The following is a 22,423-nucleotide window of genomic DNA, read 5'->3' as shown; positions in this document are numbered from 1 at the left end:
ACGGCATCCATGCGAATCTAAGTTTTAATTTTTGTTTAAATCTCAAACTCAGTTACCTTATGGGGCCAATAGACAATAGCAATCTTTGAAACAGCCTAGGGAGTACCATGCAGCCCTAAGGGACAGCTTCTTCTTAGCTTTAGAAATTCTTTGCATGTTTCTATTATAATCTTAGAATCTAATTTTTCAAGAGACACAGAGTATTTTTGAAATAAAACATTTTCTGATTTTTACTTAACAGTGTGATGCTTCTTATTGTGCCAACTGTCTCAGCCAAACTATATTTCCCAGAGTTCCCTTTCTGTATGTTTCCAGCTATTGTGGGTTCCATGGAGATTCTTCTGAGAATTGGAGGGCTGATGGGGGAGTCAGCAGTCATTGTGTAATACTCAGGCATTGTTGCTGATCTGTTGATTTATGTGTCTGGTTGATGGGAAGCAGCAGCTGAGCCTGCAATCACTTCCCCTGCCCATTGGGTCTTCCTTTAATTGTCTGACTCCTGGGCCAGGGGTGTGTGTGTGTGTGTGTGTGTATGTGTGTATGTTCAACTCTGTGACAAAGAGGCTCAGCTTCTGCTGGTTACTCTAGTCACCAAGCCTACTTGTAATTTTCCTTTCCTGCCTGCCTGCTAGGGTCCATCATTAGAGAGACAGCATTGAGAACGGGGCAGATAGCCATCCACCAAAATTGCATAAGCCAATTACTGTCACACACACACACAATCTTTTACTGGCTCTGTTTTTCTAGTTGAACCCTGACTGATACAGATGTTAACTAATTCAAATATTTCAGAAATGCAATGTGGGGACTTTCTATTTCTGGTAATGGCTGATTAGGTTATTTGGACCATCCTTTCCACTGAAAAAAATTAAGAAGCTGGGTTTGATACTAAAGCTTTTTTTTTTTTTCGATATAGAGTCTTGCGCTGTCACACAGTCTGGAGTGCAGTGGCATGATCTCGGCTCACTGCAGCCTCCACCTCCCAGGTCCAAGCAATTCTCCCACCTTAGCCTCCAGGGTAGCTGGGATTACAGGTGCACACCAGCATGCCTGACTAATGTTTGTATTGTTTTTAATAGAGTCAGTGTTTCACCATGTTGGCGAGGCTGGTCTCAAACTCCTGACCTCAAGTGATCCTGCTGTCTTGGCCTCCCAAAGTGTTGGGATTACAGACATAAGCCACCATGCCTGGCCATTAAAACTATCTTTAAAGACCCAGAGAACTACAACAACTTAATGATCAGGGTCAAACTGAAGGGGACATTGAACCTAGAAAGGTAATAAGCAAGGAAGCTGCTTTTGCCCTGATAGGCTTTTGCTCATGATGGAAATTGTGTGTTCACCCTTTGATAGCCTTGAAAGGTGAGGAGCCTACAGTCAAGAGCTGAGGCTTTCCCAGAGTGAGAAATCTCACAGGAAAGCTTCCCTGCAACAAGCTAAGACATACAGATTATATATTTGAAAATAAACCAAATAGAACATCTGGAAATAAAATACAAAACCTGAAATTAAACACTCAGTGGATGCATAGAATAGAAGTTTAAACAAAAAATTGGTGCATTGCAAAAAGTGTAGGAAAAAAAATTGCCCACAGAGCAGTAAAGAAAGACGAAGGATGGAAAATACTAAAAACAATTCATTGACAGAGGAGATGGAGTAAAAAGGTTCATTTTATTTTATATGCAAATATATATGGAATCTTAGAAGGAAAGAAAAAAAATGACAGAAGCCATATTTGCTTTCATGATAGTTTAGAGTTTTTGCAGAACTGAGGAAAGTGATCCATCTAGCCATCTCAAACACATATTTAGACACACTATAGAAAAACTGCACAAAATGTAAGAAAAAAATACTAAATGCTGTCGGTGGGGGGAGGGGGAATATAAATTATCATCAAAAGAACTGTATTAAGACTAACAGTTAACCTCTCAAGAACAGCAATAGATGCTAGAGGGTGGTGGAAGTTTATCTTCAGTGTGCTAAAGGAAAATAACCACCAACACAAAATTTTATATCCAGTGAAAATATCATTCCAGAATGGAGGAAATGTAGATTCTCATCTATTACTACATTAAACAAACAAAGACATTTCTGCACAAAAACAAAAATAAAAACTCCAAAGAGTTTCCCACCAGTAGACCGCATGAAAGGAACTTCTAGAGGAAGTACAAGATGATGATCCCAAATGGGCAGAAGATACAAGAAAAAACGTTTCACAAAGAATATGTGAATATGTAGACATATCTAAATGAACCATGATCAAAACATAGAATAATGTCTTATGTGTTTAAAAGTCTATTAGATTAAATTTCAAAAATAAACTGATGAGGGACCAGTGGAATTAAAATTGTTCCAATGCCCTGGTATTGCCCAGAAGGAGAGTAAACATGTCTAAGTTTTATACTCAAGAAAATAAGGCATAACTATATTTGTTTCCTAAAAAGGCAATTCTTTATATTGACAAAAATGAAAAAGAATTTTCTTCTACAGAACAAACAAAAACAAACCACTGTGTGGTTAATTGAGACTTGACAATGAGCAGAAACACTGTCTATAAGCAGCCAGTTTCCACTCTGCAAGTTTGGCTTCTGGGAGAAGATCCAATAAGTGCTGGCAAGGAAGAATCCATTTCCCCATCAAGCCGCAAAAGATTAGAGGAGGCACAAATGCATTACTTTAAAAAATATTTTATTTTAAATCCCGAAGTTTGCCTTTTCTCTCCCAAACACAGGAGATATCAGCCGCATTTAAGGTTCTGTCTCAGAGCCCAGCGGTAGGTCTAACAAGACTAACTTCAAGCAGAGGGATGAGTCAATCACCCTGTTACAAAGATGTCAGAGGGGAAATAAGGAAAATCAGTCTATATTCCCTTGGTGGAGGGAAAAAAAAGAGCCAGTAGCTACATGATGAAATGTTCTTTGGGAATGAATTAAAATGCCCTAAAGCTTCCCGGAATTCTCTCTTGATGATGAGCTAAATTAAGCAGAAAACCTGTGTTCTAAGAAGCATCAAAGACAAATTAAGCATCAGAGAAAAAGTAAATTACACATTTATTGACTGTTTTATGAGGTTATGGAGATAGTTCATTAAATATTCCCCTCAAAAGATGATTCTTCTTATAAAGAGAGTCAGGAGCAGCAAAGTGATCAATAAACATTGGCATATTCACAACAGACTCAAGGCAACTTGTGACTAACCGTGTTTTCTTTTCTTTTTTTTTTTTTTTTTGAGACAGGGTGGTCTCACTCAGTCGCCCAGGCTTGAATGCAGTGGCGCGATCTCGGCTCACTGCAACCTCCGCCTCCCGGGTTCCAGTGATTCTCCTGCCTCAGCCTCCCAAGTAGCCGGGACTACCAGCGCCCACCACCACACCTGGCTAATTTTTGTATTTTGGTAGAGATGGGGTTTCCCCATGTTTCCTACTGGCTTTGGCAAACCCAGGTATGGAAATCCCCAGGAAACCAATTATTTCACTGAGTCAGAAGACTGGCCAGTGTTTACTGCGTCCATCTTGAAAATTCTACCACTATGGATTTCATAAAAAGCCACAACTCAAACAAAACTGAAACCCACATACACTCAAGGACTGAATCGAATATCTCATTGCTAGAAAACATGCAGTCGAATGTTTCTCCAGAATTCAGAACTCTACTGGAAAGGAGCCAAGTATTCCCTTCTAAGAGTGTCTCTTGTTGTTTATAACATAATAAGTTTCCATGGGACTTATGTGCAGCAATGTACAACATCATTTTGTGTCAAATTGAGGCCAAAATATTTTATTGTACAAGTTGCTTCGAGGGACCACCTACTTCTGTTTTCCCCAATGCCCTCAAAATTACCTACAAAATGAATAAACTAATTGAATCTCTTTTTTCATAGGGAAAAAATGAACTCTCCACATGAAAAGATCCTAGTGCATGTCACAAAGTGGGACAATCTAAAATAAACTTTTCCAGTGTGACTGGCCACATTTGGTCCCCTACCAAATAGCGACCAGAAAGACTTAAGGTCCCAGCTCACATGCAGAATTGAAACAAATTTTTAGCCTGATTTTGATTGAGGCATATTCTCCTATGACTGCTATTGCAGGATGGTAAAAATGTTGGGAACTCTAGATGACATGCCCATTGTTGAGTAAACTGCTAGCAAAGTCACACTTTGAATGAGGTTTCATGTGTAGTTTGCTCTAAATTGAGCCAGAATAAATACTTCTTTGCCACTGAAAAACTGTTAACTTTGAGCCATTGGCTTTTCAAATTTCTTTTGCTGAAAGATTTACAAAATATCTGTTTGTTACTTTCAAAGGAGTTGTTTATTTACCAATGGCTTAGAAAATTATATTGATATGATTTTCTAAGTTGATCAAGGTTCAGAATAGCTCAAAATAGTAATATCCCAGAGCAAACAGTAATGTAAAAAAAGAGCTTCCTCCCTGTTAAGACAAGATTAGGAACATGAAACACACTATTACATTAGTTAGAATAAGTGGATGAAGAGAAAGTAAATTATTATATACAACAACATGGTGAAAGAAATGGAAGAACAGGAAGAAATATGATGTCATGTAGCCTATACATACTTTTGGTGTCTGCAAAAACTTAGCTATGATCACTTTCTAGTTAAAAAACTTCATCCCATCTTGTTGCAGGAAGTCAGGGACCCCATATGGAGGGACCGGCTGAAGCCATGGCAGAAGAACGTGGATTGTGAAGATTTTATGGACATTTATTAGTTCCCCAAATTAATACTTTTATAATTTCTTACGCCTGTCTTTACTGCAATCTCTAAACATAAATTGTAAAGATTTCATGAACACTTATCACTTCCCCAATCAATACCCTTGTGATTTCCTATGCCTGTCTTTATTTTATTCTCTTAATCCTGTCAGCCGAGGAGGATGTATGTCACCTCAGGACCATGTGATAATTGCATTAACTGCACAAATTGTAGAGCACATGTGTTTAAACAATATGAAATCTGGGGCACCTTGAAAAAAGACCAAGACAACAGCAATGTTTAGGAAACAAGAGAGATAACCTTAAACTCTGACCGCTGGTGAGCCGGGCAGAACAGAGCCATATTTCTCTTCTTTCAAAAGCAAATGGGAGAAATATCGCTGAATTCTTTTTCTCAGCATGGAACATCCCTGAGAAAGATAATGTGCGCCTGCGGGTGGGTCTCTAAACTGGCCCCCCGGGCATAGCTGTCTCTTACTGTTGAGGCTGCAGAGATGCAATAGACTCCAGTCTCCCATAGTGCTCCCAGGCTTATTAGGAAGAGGAAATTCCCACCTAATAAATTTTGGTCAGACCAGTTGATCTCAAAACGCTGTCTACTGATAAGATGTTATCAATGACAATGGTGCCCAAAACTTCATTAGCAATTTTAATTTTGCCTCGGTCCTGTGGTCCTGTGGTCCTGTGATCTCGCCCTGCCTCCACTTGCCTTGTGATATTCTATTACCCTGTTAAGTACTCGTCTGTCACCCACACCTATTTGCACACTCCCTCCGCTTTTGAAAATCTCTAATAAAAACTTGCTGGTTTTTGCGGCTTGTGGGGGCATCACGGATCCTACCAACGTGTGATGTCTCCCCCGGACACCCAGCCTTAAAATTTCTCTCTTTTTTACTCTGTCCCTTTATTTCTCAAGCCAGCCGATGCTTAGGAAAAATAGAAAAGAACCTACGTGAATATCGGGGCAGATTCCCCGATACCATCTGTAAATTAGTTGAGGGAGGAACTCTATTCTCCTCAGTAACCTGTGGCAAAGTTTGGCATGGTTTCTTCTTCATAAGAAGGTTACAATTGTCTTTAATATTACCTGCTGCAATGTCAGCTCACGTTCCTCATCCAAAACCCAGTAATGGAACCATTCATAAAGTTCTAGATGTCACGAAATCACTCTGTTTTCTTATCTGACTGAATGGAACTGACTCCGTGGACTTGTTTTAGAGATACTATTGATCAGTTTCATTTCCTTGGGTTGTTCCTTGTTTTGTTTCTGCTTTTGCTAATTTCCCTCATGTCTATGTCAAGATTCAAAGCCTGTTTCAGTACTAGATGTGGAGAGGGATTATTTCAAAGCCAGTGTTACTGTATTTTCCATCCATGCCCCACAGTTACAGGAGCATCAGCGACTGCTATGCTGGCCTGGCCTCTCCTCACCACCCATTTATTAATACCTACTTTGCTGTCCTGTGCTTTGGTCTTTCTTCACATGTCTCACACTTGATTTTGTTCTTTTACTCTACTGTCTATTGCTGCTCCTGTTGTCATTGTCATTTCCCTTTATTAACCACCATGTCCTACAATGTTAACAGTCATGATTTATTATTTTATTAATAAAATCACAGCTTTAAGGCACAACGTTTTTAAGCCATGAAGAAAAACCCTCAAGAAATGCTTTAGTTTGACATGGAACCAACAATCTTCATGGGCAACCTTCAAATCCAGACACAAAAAGATGGTCATGGAGCAACCTCATGGAAGAAAAGCACAGAGGAATTCATCATGGTACCTATTTACAATAAAAAACGCAGACAATAGAACTACTAAAAATTCATAGAAACACTTCAGATCTCTTTCCAAGGGGCCAGAAAGGAAGAAACAAAAAATTGTTATAAACATGGCTGTAACGTACACTGTATGTAACCTGTCTACCCAGTTGCTATTTCCCCTCTATTTCTTTGATGATAAAATATCAGTTTTGTTCAGGTACCTGATGACCATGGAACTGAGGAAAACTGAACTCTCTCTAGCCTTGTGAGTGAATCTTAATTACTCTAAGCCAATCATGAAAGTGATACCCTACTGCCCATGATTGGTTTAAGAATGGGAATATGAGGCCATTGTACCCAATGAGGAAACACCAGCTAGAGGGGATGTAGGAAGGTTTTTCTCAATCCTAGAAAGGGTTACAAAATGAAGACATTTGCTGCACGTCCTTTGAGTGGTTTCATGTAAGGTTATGATGTGTGGAGCTAGGGCAGCCATCTCATGACTGAGTTCACGGTCTGGATCTAGAAGGCAACAACAGTGGAAATTCTAAAAATACCTGGAGATGAAATTGTTAAGCCACTAAATTAATCACTGTTACAACTGTAGTACCTCTGAATTTCCAGTAACGTGGCTTACTAAATACTATAACTGTTGAAGCCAGTTTTAATTGGGCTTATTGTAAAATTGCAGCTGAATGCACCCTGACTGTTAATAAATCAGCCAAAAGTTATTAGTTCTTTTCATGTCCAGTTATATCCAGGGAAGAAGTTTAAGGGTGCTTCCACATTTACTGAGGTTGATTTTAATCATGATGACCTAGAGCAGTAACAAGAAAATCTTTGTATGGGTTACTGATACTGAGAGTTATATAATTTAAACACATTAATGATTTTACATTCACATTTTATCTGTAAGTAAAATAGTTAACATTGTTGAACCAAAACACGCATGAAAAAAAAAAGCAAAATGAAACTCTGAAAAGAACCATATTACCTAAATTTTTTTGAAATACAAAAACTAGCTGAGCCATCAACCATAAGCAAATTCTATTATGTCAGTGTACAAAGTAATGACAAATTTAAAACCAGACAGCATAGATTAGAAATGTATGTATCTGAATATATCACCTGAGACTGATTATTATTAAAGTGTTTCTTAAATTTCAGTCAAACTGGATCTTTTGCTCTAAATAATTTGAGCATTTTAAAAAGATCAATTCTGATTGGAAAGTATAGCAATTTCTGAAATTATGTTAAAATTTATTCCACTTTATTAGTGCATAATCAACCTGAGAGGGTGGCTGAGAAGATCTACATTATATGTTTATAGGAGAAACGTAAGAATTAGCACCATATCTAAGTAATTATTAATTCTTGCTTGAGAATCTATATTGCCAACCCTAAAAACTTAGAAATTAAAAATATTAAATAAATGTCTTATATAATAAATATGAAAGCATAAGAGCACAAAGAACCATGAAAATATATTTAGAATTATCCATAAGAAATCTATAAGAAGTAAACTGGTGAATGAAACATACAATTAAATAAAACTAACGTTTTTTAACTTTTAGGACTCGAGAAATGCTTGTGTGGAATGGCAGTACTTTTTAGAGTAGATATTTTAAATTGAAAATAGAAGCGCAGGAAAATTGAAAAACACAATTTCCACAAACAGAAAACTATTCAGTGATGAATCAAAATGGAAGGAATGTTCTAAAACTGAGATGCCATTTGGTAACCTCAAAGTATTTGATCTACAGATACTCAGTTCATTCAAAGTTAATATTCATAAGACAATTAATTTTAACCAAACAATGAACATAAGATAATTTTAAAGCAGAGCCCCAATCAACTGTTACTATGGGAAACAAAAGATTTGCTTTTCTCTGATTTATGAGACTATTTTGCTAGATAAAAACCAAAGTGATTTTGGTGCAGGGCATCCTCTGCTGGACAGAGGGTGGCATTACAACATTACATCAGCTATTTAGAACTGACGTTTACTTAGTAGTACCCAAACTGAAGGTTTGGTTAGTCTCTGATTCTCCAGGGGAAACGGACTATAAAAATACCTTTGTCTGAGCCATACCCCAGATTAGTTAAAGCCAAATCTCTGGGGCTGGGTTCTGCATATTTGCAGTTTTTAAAAGCTCACCAGGTGATGATAAATGCTTACTGAATATTGCTATATTTTTTCCTTCATTGAGAAAGATACATGAGTTTCATATGCAAGAACTGATCTGAGACTGTGTACAAGGTACTTATGTAAACCAGGAAGGTTTTACTCTTACTAAATGGAAATCAAATAAAATAATTGTTCATTTTAATTCAGTTCCGTTTACCTTGGGCTTTTCATCCAGGATCTGCTGACGTATTTCCTTGTGTTTCTCTACGAGTTTTTCTTGCCGTTTACTTTGCGCTTCTTCTAGCTATAAGAAAGTTACAAGAAACATTACTTTCATCTAAACATTTAAAAGTGCACGTTTTCAGAAAATACCGAAAGCTTTTCAGATCTATGGCTTACATTTGATTATTTGATCTCCTGATCAAGAACTACACTTACAAGTATAGGAAACTGTAGTAAGTGTTGAAGCTAGGTGACAGAAACATAAGGGTGGGAGGTGGTGATCAATGGACTGCACTGTTCTTACCTTTTTATAAATATGTAAACATTTCTATGACATTAAATTGGAAAAAAAAAGGACAGCCCTTCGAGGTTGCCATCATCTCTATCATTGATGACAATTAAAGGTTCTTTTGGGAACACTATCATTTACAATATGTTTCTGGGCTCTTGACTTTGGAAATGACTTGACTCTATTTTTAGATGAATCCTTTTACAAAGTGGTTTGCAATTCAACTTGCAGAAATGTTGATTAAGGAGTGCCCACCCTGTGAAACAGCTCTGCTAGGTGCTAGTGATAAAAAGTTATGGCAAGGCATGACATTTCCTTCCAGAAGCTCACAGCGAGCTCACCAAATGTTCACACATGTTTTGCAAAGGAGAGAGCGTGATGAGCCCACATACCCTCTTGATATACTGCACCACTTCCTGGATATATGACCGGATCATCTCTGTCTTCTCCCTAAAAGCAAATGATGAATACATCATTATACCAATTCATCCAGAATTGACAAATGGTAATCTCAGACTTCTAGATAAAAGGTTACAGAACTCTCAACATTCTTTTTCTTTTTTCCTTATTTTTATCTATTTATTTATTGGAGACAAGGTTTCGCTCTGTTGCCCATGGTAGAGTGCAGTGGCACCATCATGGCTCACTGAAGCCTTGACCTCCCATGCTGAAGCCATCCTCCAGCCTCAGCCTTCTGAGTAGCTGGAAATATAGGTGTGCACCACCACACCCAGCTAATCTTAAAATTTTTTTGTAGAGACAGAGTCTCCCTGTGTTGCCCAGGCCCCTATTGAACTCCTGGCCTCAAGCAATCCTCCCACCTAGGCCTTTCAAAGTGCTGAGATTACAAGTGTGAGCCATAGCAACATTCTTATTACTGCTACAAGGAAGGTATAATCTGCCAGCCTTTGGACAAAGGTCAGGTTCCTCCCAAGGCACAGGCTCTGTTTTCACTAAATGCCAGGAAGATTATGGGTAGGAAGTGAGGATTTAGCCTTTCCCTGAGGGAAGCTCTTTGCTTACTCTTTATCTAAAAGGCCCTGGGTGTGCCTCACTCCTTTATTGAACCAGTCTTTGCTTGAGCCTTCCCTGTTAAAAACCTTACCAAAAGAATCTTTTGAAAGGCTGACTAGAGGAGAAACTTCACGAAGGAGTCTTTGACTGGTTATGAACCTGTGACTCTGACGTACAAAATAAAATAATTCCCAGATGAACTGTTTGGGAGAGGGGACACTTTTGACTTACTCTTCCATCTGACTTTTGTCTTTGGATTTAGCTTCTGTTATCTTCTCCTGCCTCTTTTTATCCATTTTCTTCTTTAATTCTTTCTTTTCTCTGAAGTCACAATGGAAGTAAAAGAGAAAAAAGAGGCAAATCAGATGGGAATTTGTGTTGAATAAATTCAGATGCACATGTCAATTGTAATGGGAATGAGGGCTTACTTCTCACAGATTTCTTTGAGCTTCTTTAACTGATTGTTCTGACACTCTTCTGCGACATCCGTCAACTTTTGAATAAGCTGGAAAAAGAAAATGTCAGTTTGCTATTTCAAATGATTGCAAACAGAGCTTCCTTCCCACCTCCCTCAAACAACAGAATCTATAGTTAGAATATCTGTGATGGATGTTTCACAATAGTTAAAGTTGTCAGACATCTAACATTGGCAATGAGGACAATTTAGAACCATCATATTATCTAGGCTTATGGGTTTTAATATGAAATTCTTCTTATTATCTCTTTTTAATTAAACAGAATTCATTAGATTGTTGTGGCAGTTATTATAGCCCAGCTCAGTGCAAAGACAACTTACAGTGTAGAACCTGGTTCCAATCTCTACCCTAAGACTTATTAAAAGTGAAATTTGGGGCAAGACCCTACATTTTCAGAACCTACATTTTCTCAGTTGATCACTGTCTTTATGTCTTTGGAGGTGCTGTGAAGCTCAAAATAAAAATAAGTATGACACAAATGTAAGTTATAATCAACAGCAAGTTATAATTCTTGGCTCACAACTATCATTCATTGTTGAATTGCTTTGAGGATAACATGAGTTTCCCATCTTAGAAGTTGACATTTATGTTCTTGCGTGGGTAATTTCCAGTAGATATAAAGAACATCAGAAATTCTCTTTGTGCTTTCAATGAACTGTCACTACATCACTGTGAACGCAAGTATTTATTGTCATACATCTATTATCAAATCAAGCCCCAAGGGGGCATCAATTGTGTTTTTGTATCCTTGGTATTCTGCACAATTCCTAATATTCACTTGATGCCCAGTAAGTGTTTGCCAATTACATAAAGGTAATTGTGCCTGGTAATCTTTTCCTTTTTTCCTCATGAGGAACCTGGAGAACCTTCTGCAAGGTTTTCAGGTGGCTGTAGCAACTGGACTCAACCCTTCTTACTGGAGCACCCAATAGACAGTGTGGACATCCTCTGAAAGCCCCCACTGCTTTTCCCATAGATGGAGATTCTCTTTCCCAAAAACATATAAGGCAAGCTGAGTTGACTAGTCTTCTATAAGTGGCAGCTGTAATAGTGACAAGACAAATCATAATACCACAAACTTTTGAGACAGCCAAGTATAAGGGAGTCCCCGGAAAAACTGCAACGGGCCTGCTCACTGGGAGGAATGCACACTGAGGTGGAGCCACAGAAATCCACCCCATTTGCAGCAGGGAGGAGCCTGGCCACTCCTCTTCCTGGGTGGAACTTGGAATTCAATCTGCAAGGTGGGAAGCACACTAGCAGGGACTCCAGCCTTGTGGAGATAACCTGTTTCCCTCTTTTCCTTTCAACACAATAAAACCCTGTCCTCCTCACTCTTCAAATTGCCTTCAAGCCTAACTTTTTGTGGCCATGTGACAAGGAACCCGTCTTTAGCTGAACTAAGGATAGGGTCCTACAACACTTTAACTGATAATTTCTATATGTCAGGCCTAGTTTTAAAAGATTCACATGTGGCTGGGCACAGTGGCTCACACTTTAATTCCAGCACTTTGGGAGGCCGAGGCAGGTGGATCGCTTGAGGTCAGGAGTTTGAGACTAGCCTGGCCAACACGGTAAAACCCTGTCTCTACTAAAAATACAGAAAGTTAGCCAGGCCTGGTGGTGGGTGCCTGTAATCCCAGCTACTTGGGAGGCTGAGGCAGGAGAATCACTTGAATCCGGGAGGTGGAGGTTGCAGTGAGCCGAGATTGCACCACTGCACTCCAGCAACTCTGGGCACACTCTAGGCAACAAGAGCAAAACTCTGTCTCAAAAAAAAAAAAAACAAAAAAGATTCACATGTATTTATTTAATTCTGAGAATTGCCCTATGCGGTTGGTGTTATTATTTTTGTTTTACATAAGAACACGCTGACACATCTGGCTCAAGTCCTGGGCTCAGGGCCCCAAAGCTGGTAAGTGGCTGAGATGGGTACAAACCCAGACAAATAAGGTTCCATGGCTTGCAAGAGAATTACGATACGGAATCCACATTCGTTTAAAATTATCATGAAATTTGATGCATTCATCTGTGAAGTGGATTAAATCTGAACAAATATTAACTAGGACTTGGGCCAGCAGAAAGCCTATTTGATCATTCAAAAGGGATTGCCTAATCATGATTATCACAATTAAAGAAATCATGAGGCATTACTTTGTAGTCATGCCATTTATCAAGCTGTCTAGATGTAAAATTCCAGTGTGCAAAGACTCTGGCCATTTCCTTGGGGTCTCCTGCAACGTCTCTATTTAGCTGAAAGTGTCCTCTCACTAGCACCTTCCCTTCCCTAGAGGGCTTTTCTCCTCTTCCAACCACTTGAAGGAGTTACAGAGAGTTATCCAGGGATCACCTTCCTTGGCTGCAACATCAGAATCATGTGGGGGAACTTCTTAAAAATACAGATTCCAGGACCTATGGACTCCAAATGTCTAGGGGTAGGGCCTGGGAATCAATATTCTCAAAATCTCCTGAGGTGATTTGGATGCTTTGTGCCAGACTTGAAGTGGGAGGTTGTCTTGGTGGACCCTCCCTCATTCTACAAGCCACTGCTAAGTCTCCCAGCAACTCTTTTGAATTCAGTAACAATTATATTCCTGTTTCCATGTCCTCATCTCTATCATTCACCTGACTTCAGAATATTTTCTTGATTATGCCAGCATCTGCTCACATGTGCTGTTTCCCTTCCGCCTACTGCCTTTATCCTCAGCAGCATCGGCCTCCAGTCAATATTGAGACTAAGCTGGAGAACTCACAGACCTTCTGCCCACTCAGTTCTGACTTTTATGTTGGTTTGGTGTCAGGCTCCACACCACTGTCAGTGCCACACTCCCTCCAGACTCCCCAGAAGTTCCCTGTCTGCCACGTCCTTTTGCCTCCCTCTTGGCTCCCATCACACCCCCTGCATTTGCCCTTTACCCCTTGCAGAACAAGTTTCCACCTCCTGTGGTCCCAGAACACACACTTATCTAAACTATCTGATTCAGCCACGATGCAATGGATATTTATTAAGCACCTACTAAATAGCAGGCACTGTTCTAGAAACTCTGAGCTGATGACCTGGCTTTCTAGATCTTGCTACTCAAAGTGTAGTCCACATACCAGTGGCAAGAGCATCACCAGGGAGCACATTAGAAATGTAAGTTCTCGGGCCCTACTCCAGATCAACTAAGTCAGAATCTACATGTTCAACAAAATTCCCAGGAGATTTGAGTGCACATTAGAGTTTGAAAAGCATTGTCTTGGTGGTTGTGGAAGATGGAGACAATCTGGAAGAAACCATTTCAATTTCTCTCTGCCCCTTCCCTTTCTAAGCCAGCCTTAGGTAATTCTCCCCTTTGACTGCCCAGATAACTCTGGGTGTTGGCCCCCTAATTGGTTTTTCCTACAGGGTATCATTTACAGACATACCTTTTGTATGTAAATATCTTATTATTGCTCCCACAAAGGGATGTCACCATTTCAACCTTCCATTCTTAATAAATGTTTAGAATCCCAGGCTCTAGACAAAATAGGCACTGAAAAAAATGATTGTGAATGAAATCTTTTAAGTTTCAAAACTACACTGGACCCGACCTCAGCGATAGCTCTGAAAGCTCACATTCAAGCCACAGGCTGCCTTATTGGAAATACTTTTAAAATTATATAGGTTTGGTGTTTAACAAGCTAAATTTTGTTCCTTCCGGAAAAAGCATCTTAATGTGAAATCCAGGTGTATTTTTTAAACTGAGGCTTTTGCATGCAATTAAATGAAAATGGTGTTTCCCTAGAATCCCAAGGAGTATATGTTTTCAGAGGATATCTGTTTAATATGTAAAATATGTAAATGTCCTACTGTACTCAGTTTGCCTTCATCTCCCCCACAGTGCCTTACTACACAGCCCCACCTCTGCTCATCTCAGCCTTTTTTTTTTTTTTGAGATACAGTGTCGCTCTATTGCCCAGGCTGCAGTGCAGTGGTGCAATCTCGGCTCACTGCAACCTCCACTTCCTGGATTCAAGGGATTGTAGTGCCTCAGCCTCCCGAATAGCTGGGATTCCAGGCGTGTGCCACCATACCCAGCTAATTTCTGTAATTTTAGTAGAGACAGGGTTTCACCATGTTGCCCAGGCTGCTCTTGAACTCCTGACCTCACGTGATCTGCCCTTCTCAGTCTCCCAAAGTGCTGGGATTACAGGTGTGAGCCACCGAGCCCGACCTCAGCTAGTTTTCAGAAGACCCTCACTCCTACTGAAGTTCTGCCCACACGGCATTTACTATTTTTATTTAAATTTTGTCTACTGAACCTCCAGGAGACAGAATAATTAATATTATGATTTTGTTAATATTAAATAGTATGCCACTACCGCCCAACTCACATTAAATTGGCAATGGGATTTTATATGGGCATCAATAATTTATCTCTTTTTTATGCTACAAAGAGAGGATGTGAGGTACACCTGTAGTTTTCTCTACCCAATACTAACTACTTCTCCAGGAAGAACTTCCTCTGCTTTCTGAGAATGGCCTCACCCACATGCTTCCCTTGGGAGCTGCTGTATATTTTACCCCCCATCTCTTGGCCAAGATAATTGGTCCAGGGGAGGCATTAATCCAAGTTGGGTCAGTCATACTCTGACTTCTGGTTGCAGACTTGGTCATCATGGGACCCAAACAAGGTTTTCCCCAAGATTTTTCCTACATGTCAATGGAGAAATAAAACTCAGAAGGGATCAGTGCCTGTATTTTCTATCAAGGGGAAGCCTGTCTTGCTACTTTGGAAAAGAATAACACTAATATGCAGAGAAAAGCAGGGGCAGAGTTTGGACAGCCCCCTTTCTTATGTGATATACCCTTTGTACTTTTCTAGTATATACCCTTCTGGCCTAAGTTAGTCCAGCATGGAATTCTGTGGCTTGCAATCAAAAGAATAAGGATAAAATAAAAACAAACAAAAACAGAAATAAAACAACTCTGCTTAATCTCTAAACAAGATAAACTTCTGTGTTTTGGGCTCAAAGTTCTTACTGCATAAGATGTGAAAATAGTACCCAGAAGAGTGATTTTTCATATAATAATTGAAGTGCTTTGTGACTAACATAAAGGCAAGGTATACTAACTTTTGGTGTATTTATCAGCAGGCTGGCTCTGTTCAAAGAGCCATTCGATCATTTATTAGTCACAAAACTCTGAAAGTAAACTGACTATTAAAGGTAGAGAAGAAGCAAAAATTCACTTGGACTTCCTAGGAAATAAATTAAGAAGGTATGTGGTAAACTGAATGGTAGTAAACAACATTTAATTTTCACTTTTGGTATGATTTTCTTTTCTGTCCCAAAGGAACAGACACATCTCAATTACTTTTTGCTGGTTTGTTTGCCATTCATGATAACTCTCCCAGCTCAATGTTCCAAACCTTTTAAGGAGTTAACAGAAAGGCCCTGGGGAATAAAACTTCACGCTTGTTCTCAACTCTGCTAAATTTCACTTGGTTTAGTCATCTGAGGGCAAGAAAATGGTTTCCATGGAGGAGAATAATTCCTTGACTCTAACTCAAAAGGGATAAAAAATATGTGGACAGAAATTTGTATGTTTGGAGTCTCTTCTAAGAAGGATAATCTTGGAACATAGGCAAAAAGCCAAGTCTAGAATATTCATATTTCGGGCTCAACACATCTTCCTTTCCCTTCCACTAATGTCTAAAGAAGATGCCTCTTTCTTTCCTTTTAGTCAAAGCATTTACTCTGGATTTTCACTATACATTGTTTTTCTTCTACAAGAAATTAATTTACAAAACATCTGAACTAAGTAATGATCTACACAGCAAGCACATCACCAACAATTTGAAAACAAGGTAGAGGCAGGAGGATCACTCAAAGCCAGGAGTTTGAGACCAACCTGGGCAACATAGTGAGACCTGTCTCTTAAAAAATAGAGAAAATTAGCTGGGCATGGTGGTGCGTGCCTGTAGTCCCAGCTACTTGGGAGGCTGAGGTAGGAGGACCACTAAAGCCCAGGAGATGGAGGCTGCAGTGCACCAAGTTTGTACCACTGCCCTCCAGCCTGGGCAACAAAGCTAGACTTGGTCTCTAAAAAAACAAAAACAAAAGCAAAAACAAGGAAGATGTTTATATGGGAGTGTGACCTGACCATTCATTCAAAGAATATTTACCTACTATGTGCCAGTACTATGCTAGTATTGATGGTCCAACCTTCCTCTGTGAGCAGACAGAGAGGGCCCTGTCTACCCAGAGCTATAATCTCTACTAGCTCCCTTCTCTTTTCAGAAGGAGAAAGTCTTGGACAAAAAAGTCAAGCATCTTGATCATTCTATGAGATATTCTTTCACACCTATAAAATTCTTATTTTTAAAATTTCCATAGCTAAATAGAACTTATATTAAAATAGCTGCTTATTTGAGTCTCAATGTTATAATAATCTTTGAAATTTTTTTTCCTTGCTGAGCAAAGAAAAAATGAATGTGAAAGTCTGACCAAGGCTTCTATTCAATGTGGAGTTGCCACCTGACATGGTTTGGCTCTGTGTCCCCACCCAAATCTCATCGTGTAGCTCCCATAATTCCCATGTGTTGTGGGAGGGACCTGGTGGGAGATGATTGAATTATGGGGGTGGGTCTTTCCTGTGCTGTTCTTGTGATAGCGAATAAGTCTCACAAGATCTAATAGTATTATATTGGGGAGTTTCCCTGCACAAGTTCTCTTTGCCTGCCGCCATCCACGTCAGACGTGACTTGCTCCTCCTTGCTTTCTGCCATGATTATGAGGCCTCCCCAGCCATGTGAAACTATGAGTTCAATTAAACCTCACAGTTTGGGTATAAATTGCCCAGTCTTGGCTATGTCTTTATCAGCCATGTGAAAACGGACTAATACACCACCTCGAGTAGGGAACTAGATAAATAAATTAAGCTACATTCATGCAATAAAGTAATACGAAGCCATGAAAAAGCGTTAAAAAGCATGACATGAAAAATCACCATGGCATAATGCTAAGTAAAAGAAGCAAATTGAAAACTATATGGATTTGGATCTTTGTGTGTGTGTGTGTGTGTGTGTGTGTGTGTTTGTGTGTGTGTGTGTGTGTTTGTGTGTGTGAATCCCACTGGGGTAATAATCAGGAAAATTGACAAAAATGTCAACAATTATTTTATTTCTTATTTCACTACTAACATCTTTTGCTTATTTGTCATTTCTTGTTTAGTAGAAAAATGCAACATTTTTTGGGAAAGCTAAATTATTTTTCAAAAAAAAAATGACCCTATGTAAAGTCCAAATATTGGAGGAAGACAGATGGCACTACCACAACTGACAGTAGGGATACTTCCTGAGACTGCAATTACTCCTGGCACATATACATCACCTAGGCAACCACAGAAAGGAGAACATTCAAGTGTGGCTCCCAGATAGCTGGGAGAGCACATAGTGCTGGTAGAAATCATTCAAGGAGAGACAATGAGTTCCCTCAAGCTGTAGCAAGATATAAAAAACTGTAATACTTGTTTATATTTGAAGTGCATATAGATTTCCTAGTCAATTCAGGTATTGTACAGAAAAAGGCTTTCATTAAAAACAATATTTTAGGTGCATTATCTTGTTGTTCCTCCTTACAGTTTCATGAGGTAAGAGATATTTTTATCTCCATTGAACAGGTGAGAAAATTGACATTCAGGTGGTCATGCAGTGACTTGGTGGAGGAGCAGTGGCCTGAAATGAGGACATATGACCCTAGACCCCCCACTCAGCACCTGATTGCTTGTCCTGGTGGGCTCGTCCATTCATAGCTGATCTGTATCTGCCCAGAGCTTGCGGTCTGAAACACAACTTTTTAGCTTTCTGGGGCTGAACTCAGTTTGATGGTACTAACGTTGGTTTGGGGTCCTGAAATGATTGCTGGTGGGACAGACATGAGGATTGTAAGAAGAACGCGAGCCATTCAGTTTGATGTAAAGAAAGAGGTGAATGGATGTGATTAGAACATGTGGGAGATATGGGAAAGGGGAGAAAAGACAGGAAGCAAAGCAAAGTGAAGCAAAGCAAGGCTCTGCAGAGGATAACACATACGGTAACTGTGAAAGAAATGAGGAAATCTCTTTGTAAAGCCGCTAAAAAGGAGGAAGAAGAAAGAAGACAAAATGGTGGGTCGAGCACATCTGTGGCTGAGAAGCAAAAACTCCTTAACATTACAACGAAATCCCTGCTCACTGGGCTGTGGGTGTTTAGTAGAATGTGATGGTAGAGCTGAGTACCCAGAGTGATTGGGGACCCTCAGGTAAATCCCTAAGAATTTCCACGCCTCACCAAAGTCACTTTTAAAATTAAAACCTCACCCTAATGGTATAGACGAAACACAGGTTTAACCAGTAGCAGTTGATGAAAAACAGATAAATGAATTAGAACAGATTCCCTGACCCTGTAGTTCTTCTCTGGAGCAAAAGTCCTTACCTGGGGTTTACAGACCCCCAAGCTGTTCATTGAGAGATATCATGGAGCACAAGCACGTGAATGGGGTGGAGGAACTTCCATCTTTATTTTCACTCACTTCCGACTAAAGCAACCAGTACCTTCTACTGTGGATGTAGGGAGGGAACCACAGGGGTGATTTCCACAGGAACTATGACTTCGTCACCAACAGATAATACACTCAACTTGATGACAAGCTGTAAAGAGCTCACTGTATTTCCCATTTCAAATAACGGAAATTGTAGGCTTACTCTAAAATGCATTTGGGGCAATGATACACACTCTAAAACTGTTTCTTCAACTTGACCATATGACAAGACACCTGGGAATCCTATTAAAATGCAAATTTTGACTTAGCAGGTCTGAAGTGGGGCCTGAGACTCTGCATGTCTAACACACTCCTAGGTGATTCACGGCCCACACTTCACACTTTGAGTAGCCAGACTGTAGAGTTATTTAGATGTAGAGCTCTAGGGACACAGATCCTTTTTTTTTTTTTTTTTTTTTTTTTTTTGCACAAAAGTGGAGTCTACAGAGCTTGGTGTGCATTTTACATCTCGTATCATGATATGAACAATTACATCAAAAATATCCTCTAGGTGCTTATCGATTGATAGAGTTAGGCAAATAGTTATATCTGTGCTTTCATATCCATTTTTTCCTGCTTTTATTATTTCATTTCTTAGTACTGTTTATTATACACATCCCCTGAGTGTGTGTGGTGATCGTGTTTTATTCATTTTCGTCTCCAGTGTCTATCAGAATGTTGTGCAAATACTAAGTTTTCAGTAAACATCTGACAGGAAGTTTACGGATGCCATGCTTTCTTTCTTAACTCTCGAACTGTGGATGTGGCATTTGAAATGCATAATCCTTAACCAAAGCACGTTGGTATTTAATCCCCAAAGCAATTTTGGGAGATGAAATACTGTCGGCTTAATTTTCCTCATCACCCAAATACTTCTTTTAACCTGGGGCTTACTTTTTAATTACACTTCGGTTTGTCTAATTTAGCCTGGGAGGCCTGTTCATTACTTAGAACCACCAGCAAAGATAGAACTAACACTTCTGGGTGCCTTTCAGTCAAAAGATTTCCTGACAGAACAATCTCTGATTCTTACAAATGGAGCCAGTAGGAAGCTTTGGCACACACGTCGCAGCTAAAGGCAGGTAGTAAAAATTGTAAATGCTCCCAAATGGCCATAAAATAAACATTGTGTGGTTCTAATTCCAAGATATTCAGGCTTTAGCCTTCCTAACAAGGCTGGGATAGGTGTGTGTAACAGGCACTGGGGCTTTATCTGAAACCCACATCCACAATCACAGTGGTGCAGGGGTGAGCACTTTGAGTGAGTGGCTTACATTTGGCCTGAAAGGGCCAGGCTGACTTGGGCATGTATTTATGTCCCTCTGAACAGTCTTCAAAACTTTTACAATGTGTACTCACATTCCTTCTTAGTGAGAAGGAAGTGGAAGGACATATGGTAGAGTTGCCACCTCTAGTAGGATTTCTACCACCTCCCTAGCTCCTCAAGTGCAATTTTCCCACCTACAAGCTCAGCTGGTTTTCCCCAATTCCCAACCAACCTTCTCCTCCAGGAGAAAAGCTCCTGAGCTGCTTTCCACACCCTCATCAGTGGGATTCCATATGGTGCCTCATGCTGAGGCATTGTTCCTGGGATGTTTAGGTTTTGCATGACTTTCTTGTGACTTCGGCCCCTATTCCTGCAGCTCAAATCTCCCCAAGAGGTCTTCTTGGGATGTTTTGGCTTCTGTTTTCATCTGTACTCTGAATTCCTCTTTCAGGAATCTCCCGTGAGTATTAGGCTTCCCTCTCACTCTGCCACCTCTCTTCTGAATTGCCATGTGTCTTTCCTTGGGGAATGGTCTTGCCCAAGGGTTGGGGCCCTGGGGAAACTCCAGATGATTATAGTCGGTGATATGGTTTGGCTGTGTGCCACCCAAATCTCATCTTGAATTCCCACATGTTGTGGGCGGGACCTGGTGGGAGGTAATGAATCATGGGGGCAAGTCTTTCCCATGCTGTTCTCATGATAGTGAGTCTCAGGAGATCTGACAGTTTTAAAAAGAGAAATGTCCCTGCACAAGCACTCTTTCTGTGCCTGCTGCCATCCATGTAAGACATGACTTGTCTTCTGCCATGACTGTGAGGCTTCCCCAGTCACGGTGAAGTTTAAGTCCAGTTAAACCTCCTTCATATTGCCCAGTCTTAGGTATGTCTTTATTAGAAGCATGGAAATGGACTAATATTGGGGTGTCCAGACTTCTTTTTTTTTTTTTTTGAGATGGAGTCTTGCTCTGTCACCCAGGCTGAAGTGTAATGGCATGATCTCGGCTCACTGCAACCTCCACCTCCTGGGTTCAAGCGATTCTCACACCTCAGCCTCCAGAGTAGCTGGGATTACAGGCACCCACCACCATGCCTGGCTAATTTTTGTATTTTTAGTAGAGACAGGGTTTCACTATGTTTCCCAGGCTGGTCTTGAACTCCTGAACTCAGGTGATCCACCTGCCTCGGCATCCCAAAGTACTGGGATCACAGGTGTGAGCCACCGCACCCAGCTGGGATGTCCAGACTTCTAAGCAACATTCACCCTGTTAGTAAACTTGAGTCATCTGCTGGAGACCCCAGGATTCCTTAACCCCTTGGGCTGCTGTTGGCCTGAACTTTGGGACGGCTTCTTCCTAGGAGACCACTTCCCGTAACGTACTGGGAAGCACAGCCCCGGAGTGGTCCCTGTGGAAGTTTCTTCAGATCACATCAATCCTCTGCTCAAAAGCTTCCAACAGTTCCCACCTCACTCCTAGTGAAAACACAGAGGCCTAAAGACCCCAGAAGATCTGTCTCCCACCTCAAAAGTCCCATCTCTCTGACCTGATGCCCTATAATCCTCTTCAGGCAGAGCCACTGTGCTGTTCCCCCAACACTCAGGCCCATTTCCAGCCCAGAGTCTTTGCATGCCAATCCTTCTGCCTGGAGGAATCCTCCTCCCTGTGTTGGCTGTTGTCAGTTCTTCACCTCTTAACTCAGATGTTGCCTTCTGCGTAAACCTTTCCGTGCCTACTCTATTTAAAATCGCCAAGCATCCTCATCATCCTTCCCCAAACCGCCCCTCCTTATTCTCCCATTTCTGTTATTGTTTTTCTCCTAAGCCCTTATTACTACCTAACATACTACATGTTTTACCAACTTATTTTGTTTATGGTCTGACTCATCCTTCTACAATATAAGCTCCATAAAGCCTAGGATTGTTATTTTTATTTACTACTGTTTAAAAATATTTAACAAGCAGGTGTCTAATAAGCATTTGTTTCAAG

At 40.2% G+C, this 22,423-nt stretch overlaps 1 protein-coding gene across 2 annotated transcripts in view; it reads right to left on the bottom strand.

Annotated features, from left to right (window-relative positions):
• Positions 1–22,423, bottom strand: part of PLCB1 (phospholipase C beta 1) — a 752,635-nt gene that overhangs the window by 85,795 nt on the left and 644,417 nt on the right. For both annotated transcript variants that reach the window (NM_182734.3, NM_015192.4), the window contains exons 28-31: positions 10,581–10,657; positions 10,384–10,473; positions 9,531–9,588; positions 8,845–8,931 (exon numbers count right to left, since the gene is read on the bottom strand). In NM_182734.3, the coding sequence (NP_877398.1) occupies positions 8,845–8,931; positions 9,531–9,588; positions 10,384–10,473; positions 10,581–10,657 (312 nt within the window). The remainder of the gene's footprint in view (positions 1–8,844; positions 8,932–9,530; positions 9,589–10,383; positions 10,474–10,580; positions 10,658–22,423) is intronic.

Source organism: Homo sapiens, chromosome 20, assembly GCF_000001405.40.
Source record: "Homo sapiens chromosome 20, GRCh38.p14 Primary Assembly".
Lineage (NCBI taxonomy): Eukaryota > Metazoa > Chordata > Mammalia > Primates > Hominidae > Homo > Homo sapiens.
The sequence above is the reverse complement of the archived record's forward strand: the minus strand, read 5'-3'. Positions and strand labels throughout refer to the sequence as shown.